The 6,986-nt window shown below is 36.8% G+C and overlaps 1 long non-coding RNA gene across 1 annotated transcript; it reads left to right on the plus strand.

The window, feature by feature from the left end:
* The first annotated feature begins 3,519 nt into the window (after positions 1-3,519).
* LOC107985417 (uncharacterized) lies at positions 3,520-5,447 on the plus strand. The gene is made up of 2 exons (XR_001737798.2): positions 3,520-3,677; positions 4,675-5,447. It is a non-coding gene; the product is annotated as an uncharacterized LOC107985417 (long non-coding RNA).
* Positions 5,448-6,986: the final 1,539 nt, after the last annotated feature.

The raw sequence follows: 6,986 nt of genomic DNA on the forward strand, positions 1-6,986 counted from the left end.
TCAGACTTAATTTTTTAAAGCCATCACTAATGGCTCTTGAAAAGAAAGATCAAACTAACATACTAAAGTAAAATTTCTGAGTATAAAATAACTTTTCAAAGGGTGTTTTGCAACACTCTGATCCAGTTCTTCCCCTAATGTTTGGTAGTATATATTTGCTTTATGCACACACACACACACACACACACACACACACACACACACACCCTTCTTTTAGGAGCAAGTCTTTGGTTTCTCAGCCCATTCTCATTATTCCACCCCCATTGCTATGCTGAAGTTCACCAAAGACATTTGATCCAGATACTGCTGAATACCAAGTTTTTTTTAGTTATATTGTTGTTAATCCAATGAAGTTCTTCATTCTCTTATTTATATAGAAAATTATACATAAATGCAGACCAAACATAGTGCCCCCTGCCATGGCAGGGCAGATGCTGCATAGATGCAGAGGATTTTTCCAAGGCTCCTTAAGGTCCCTAACAGGGAACACTGCTGCCAGTGACCATGTCTGCTCAGGTAGAATCTTGCTAAATTTGAGACACTTAACTCTATGCAGAGCTACAGCCATTTTATGCTTGGAATTTACATCACCATTCAGGAAGCGCCTACACACCTTTCTTTAAATAGTCTCTGGTCTTGGTTTCCATGTTAGCACACACTGCTGATTCTCCTTCTACTTTTTTGGCTATACTAAGTCTCTTATGTCAGTCTCTCATCCTCTAACCAACTAGTAAATGTTGGTATTCCTCAGAATTCTTTCCTAGGCCCTCTACTCTCTGTTCTCTTTAATATTTCCCTGAGGAAATATTATCAATTCACATGGCTTTAGTTATCTATACACTGACAAATCCCAAAGTTATCTCTCTGGTGCAGATTAAGCTTGCGAGTTAACATATCTGAATATAGAACTGCCTATAGGACATTTCAATTTGGATGTCTCAAAGGCATCCCTAAACCACTGAGTATGTCCAAAACGGATAACTATTATTCTCTTAGAGAACAATCATATGGCTCCATTACACATCGAGTTACTCAAGTCATAAAGAACTGGGGGGAGGGGAGGGTTATGACTCTTACTTTCACCTCATTCACCACATCCAATCAATCATTCAACTTCTTAGATGTGATTTATCATTGTCGTCATTTAGTAGAAAGAGTACCCTCAGCAACAGAGAGAAGTACCTGGTTCCTGGGATGGATATATCTCTATTATAGATCATTCATTGCCAAACACTGAGCTGAAGAAAGACTATCAAATCTGGAATAAACACCCACCAGTGATAGTAGTTCACTGCCAGCTGCCCCAGCAATAATGTCAGCTGCAGGTCATGTGCAGTTCTTGGCAATAACATTACCTTCACCCATTTCCCTCTCATGAACATTATGATACATGGAACTCTCCTTACCCTAATTCTTACTCAGATTTCATGTTCCTAGAAAATACTCCAGTCCTTAGGACAGTTACTAATACCAGATGTTCTGTTTTTTTCCACCAGTCTTTGTAGGTTGATTAATGTGAACCAGTAATGACAAATAGATCTGTATTGTGTTGATAAAATCCAGTTTCAAAACCCGCAAGACTGAGAGCCAGACCATGGGCTGTGGTAAATTTACCAAGATAATCTAACCTATAGAGCCTCTTGAAAGGTAGCCAACTGATTTTTGCCTGGAGTTACCCATGTGCTTTCTACTTGAAATATCTCTGAGGTCTTCTTGGGAAGATGCCTAAACCCCATGAAACAACACTATAGTTTTTTAAAAACTGCTCGATTTAGCATAAGACATGCACAGACTTCCTTTAGTGATACAGATTGTTAGCAAAAATATGCTGGAATCTGGGGTAGCAGAGGGAGTTTCTTCATTAGCCATTCAGGGTACCTGGATCTGGTATTCCTCTTGCACTGGTCAATGTAATGGCTACACAGAGAATTAAGAATGTCGTTCTTCTCATGATAGCAACCTAAATACAAATTACTTTGTTCATCTAACATTTTATCCTTCCCAAAAAAGAGGACTAACCATCATTTGAAACATGTCTTTGAGGTCAGGTTTGTGACAAGTAATCTCAGAGATGACTCAATCCAAATATAGTTGCCTCTGGAACATGTAATCCCTATCCAGTGTACTCCTCCATGACCATGACACTGAGTTGGGCTCACTGGAAGCATCCTGCTGGAGTCATTGCAGCATACACAAGAGGGGACTGGCTACTCCTTATATGTGGTAGGCATTTTAAGGCTTCAAGAACTCTTCCTATGGTCCATCTAGCAGAGGTCCAAACTGCTTTAGGAGCTGAGAAAGAGGAGCAATGAGACCAAAATAGAGGACTTCAGGGGGGAAGGACCATTTCCTGTGTGCAAGGGGAGAAGTTAGGGCTTTCCAAACAGAGCCAAGTCTTGAAGGCAAAAATGAGATTTGAGTAGACCAGTTCACAAAGGGTATAGGATTCAAATCAGGCTGCATGTAGGAATACAGTTCAAAGGAAGGGTTGATGCCAAATTGTGGAGTGCCTTGAAAGCCAGGAAGAAGAGTTTAATCTTGTCATAGTTGGAAAGAGGAAGCATCCTGGGGACAAGCTGAAGAATGGAGATCAAGAATAAGGATAACTAACCAGGTAGCTATTGTAATAACCAGGGCCTGAAGATGTGAACTAAATTGGTTGCTGTAAGAAAGAGAGACATTCTGAAAGGAGAATTGCGTGATGGAAAATAACCCAATCCATGATTATAACCAGCTATCACGCAGAAGAGATAGCGCAGGACCCAGCACAATGAATCTCTGGGTGGGGTCCATAAAGCACATTCATAAACACCCTCATTGGGTTTCATTTCATTACACAAGCCTTGACTCAACTTTCTGGAACATTTTGCTGTTATCTTTCTGAACTGCATAACTTTTTGCAGAAGGGGAAATATTTTTCAGCTTCTAGAAAACTATTGGCCCATATGGCAAGGAAATTACTCTGCCTCTTCTCTATCTTTTTATTCTTCCTATTTAATCAGTCACCAAGCCCTGCAGATCCCAAGCCATCGTTGTGTCTGCCCTCTTTTCTCCACCACTGCTGCTTCTGCTCTTATGGCTACACTTGGTTTCCTACTATAGATGTCTAGCAGCTCACTCACTCTCCAGTCTTGCCTCTCTCTGATCCATCCTTCACAGTTCTATCAGTGAACTGTAGTCTTTGCAAAACTCAAGTCTGATTATGTAAATCCCCACTTTAAAACATCCAGTGATGTCCTGCTGAATGCGTTTAGGAGGAAGTTCAATCTCTTCATCTTAACATACATGGGTCATCATGATTTGTCCCATATGTTGCAGACAGATGTATTTTGCTTGGCCACATGGTATTTTAATCATTGGGAAAATTCACATAAAAATCTGTATTCTAGGCTTCCCTTGAAAAACAAAAAAAACAATCCATCATATCTGGGTCTGTATTCACAGTGGCAACTCAGGCTGGAGGGAGGAGCAGTCACTCATGGGGACAGCATATGTGCTCTCTGGTTTGTCACAGTCTTCACTCTCCATGTTGTAATCTACCCAGCCTGCTTCGCTCATTGGCTTTATCTGTGTAGCCGCTGGAAGTATTTTTGGCCTGTGGATACCTTCATACTACTCCCTTTTACTTCTTCCCACACACCCTTAATTTATGGAACTACTTACAGCTCCTGCAACAGGTAATAGAGCTTCAAGACTGTGTGACTCTGTAAGTGTTGCTTCCTTTGTTTAGCCCATTCTGCCTTTACCCCATCCTTTACCTATCTAATACCAACTTTCTCTTCAAGGCTCAGTTCAAGGGCTGCTCATCTAACTTCTCTTAGTTCCCAGGGTAATTTATTTGCCCCTTCCCTGTGGTTTTTTACCTTTATAATCTGATTTTTGTTGCCCCATCACCCCCTATGTCTGCCTTTTCGCAGTACAGTACCTATCATATAGTGCTGTAATTAATTATTAGTGTATTTTCCATACTAGACTATAAATTCCTTCCTATTTACTCACACCTGCTGTCTGTTTACCCACGTTCGCTACTTTATTATCTTCCTTGTCTTTGAAGATTTTTATTTCCATTGCTTACCATAGCATCTGCAATAAGAGCTCAATAAATGTTAAGTGAACGTTGTTGGGAAAGTTTCTTTAAAGGCAATAGGCAAAACTAGAGAGTCTAAAGGAGAGTGTAAAGAAAGATGGAAAGAGGGTGAGAGCCAAACAATAGGTTAATAGGTGAGAAGAAGAGGATCTGGGGAAGAAAACAAAGCAGGATGAATTTGGAAGATAATTTGGAGTATGTATGGGCTTGGAGGCAAAGGGAAGAGAGAGTTTCAATTTCCAAAGAAGGAATCCTCAGAACCATCAAGCACCCAAGAGAACCCAAGAATGGAGAGGCAGCATAGTATATTGGGTGTATCGAAAAAGCTCAGACTTTAAACAAATCAAAGTCCAGCCCTCAGTTCCTCCAGTTACTAGCCATGTGATTCTAGCAAGTTACCTAACTCAAGTTACTTAACTCCTTTGAGACTCACTTTCTAATTTGTCAAATGGAACCTACTCTGGCAGAAAGGGGATAGAGACAGGAAGTCAAAAACTGAGAGACTCATATTCATTGTAAAATGCTGTGCTCCACTGGCAGCCCACTATTAGTGTGTGGCAGAGGCATACTCTCCTTCATCTCCACAGAACACCATGTAACTCTGAAATCCTCAGCACTTCCGGCCATCAATGGTGCTAGCCAATGGAACTAATAGTGATGTCCAGCAGATGCTACCTATTAGGAGTGGCAGTGGAGGACAGTGATGACATCCACCAAAGCCCAAGGGAAAGCAATACTTGTGCCCACAATCTGCAGCAATTTGTCCATGACAGACACAGTGGTACCCAGCAAAGATGGTCAGTGGTTGAACCTGTCTGTGAATGCATGTGAAGTCCCTTCTGAGAACTCCCAGAAATATCGTGCAGAAAGGAGGGAGCTTTGAAGAGCTGATATCCTGTGTTAGTAGGTAAGAGCAAGCACCAGCAAAACTCAGGTTATAATACAATGGACAATTGTGAGGATTCAAGTAATACATGTAAAAGCACCTAGCAGAACACCTGGCACTTTATTGGGACCCAGATAAGATGCTTTGTCCTGCTGTTATTATTATGAGAAAAGTCAGTTGTGTATTATCACAAAGACCATGCTGTCTAATCTGTTTTCCACTGCCTTTAACAAGCACTGTTTTACCTTTTCTTTGCCTATGTTTATCTCATTCTGTTAATGAACAGATCAACCAAAAGACAAGGCTTTTTCCTCACACCTGCTGTTTACTCACATGTTTGCTACTTTATTATCTTTCTTGGCTTTAAAGAGAAAGAACTGACTTGATTCCAGTGTTGCCAAGTGTCAGAGAGGTCCAATAAAATGATTTTGCTTCACTCAGCCAATAAAACATATCTTCTGGTCTTATTTGCAATGGAAAATATGACATCTGTTCTAATTTCCCACTCTTTTTCCCCTAGGCAGAGTCTACTCTCTCCTGAGAATGTTCCCCAAAGTGTTTGAAATACTGGCAAGAGACATTTAATGAGGGCCCAATAAGATCTTCAATTTTCTTATCTCCTCACTAGGAACTGAAGTATATTATCTAATTCACATATGTCCTGGAGGAATAATTGAGCTCCTGCATGTTTCTAATGTTTTCTAATGATAGAAACTGAAAGATAACAAGTTACAGGAATACATATCTTTTTGAAAAACAGCTCATATCATTTTATATGCTCGTCTTGATAGCATTTTGATTGCAATTTCCATTATCCTGTTTCACTGTAAATATTATTTGTAACTTTGAAATATTTATCAACTTTGCCAAGTTCCCAAGTTCCTCAAAGCAACAATTAAATTTTATTTTTGAAATGTCATAAATTATAAAAAGAAATTATTTCATAAAGCTCATGGGATCACTGAAATTTGTTTGAATAAGAGGTCTGCATAAATTTGACAGAAAGGGTCCATTTATTTTTCTATCAAAATTGACCTTTAAGTTTATTATAAAAGTAGAATGATACATTTAAAAGAGAAACTATAATGTCATGTATATGCAAAAAACTAATTTAAATTAACAAAAATTAAAAGAACTGCATTTTTTAATAATGCAGCTGAAAAACAGCATTTCCTACACGAAACTAAAGGTTTCCAATAAGGACAGCCAATGGATCCCTCTATGCTATGGTTTAAATCTTTGTGTTCCTCCAAAATTTATGTTGAAAATAAATCTCCAATGCAATAATGTTAAGAAGTGGGGCCTTTAGGAGATTATTAGGTCAACAGGGTTCTTACCTCGTGAATGAGATGAAGGCTCTTATAAGAGAGGCTTCACAGAGCATTTGCCCTTTTGCCTTTCCATTTATTCCACAATGTGAGAACACAGCATTTGTTCCCTTTTGTATTAGTCAGGGTTCTGTAGAGGGACAGAATTAAAAGGATATACAATATCCTTTATATATATAATATATATCATGAATACTATATATATCATATAAATATTATATATTTATATGATATATAATATATATAATATTATATATAATATTATATATGATATATAACATTATATAATATTATATATGATATATATTATATATATTATATATGATATATAATATATATAATATTATATATGATATTATATATCATATATAATATATAAAATATTATATATGATATATAATATATATAATATTATATATATTATATATATTATATATCATATATAATATTCTAAATATATAATATTATATGATATATAAGATTATATACATTATATATAATATATAATATTATATATGATATATAATATTATATACATTATATATAATATATAATGTATATAATATTATATATTATATATTTATATTATATACAATGTATATAATATTATATATCATATATATTTATATTATATACAATGTATATAATATTATATATCATATATAATATTATATACAATGTATAT

The sequence above is a fragment of the Homo sapiens genome, chromosome 1, assembly GCF_000001405.40.
Source record: "Homo sapiens chromosome 1, GRCh38.p14 Primary Assembly".
In the NCBI taxonomy this organism is placed as follows: Eukaryota; Metazoa; Chordata; class Mammalia; order Primates; family Hominidae; genus Homo; species Homo sapiens.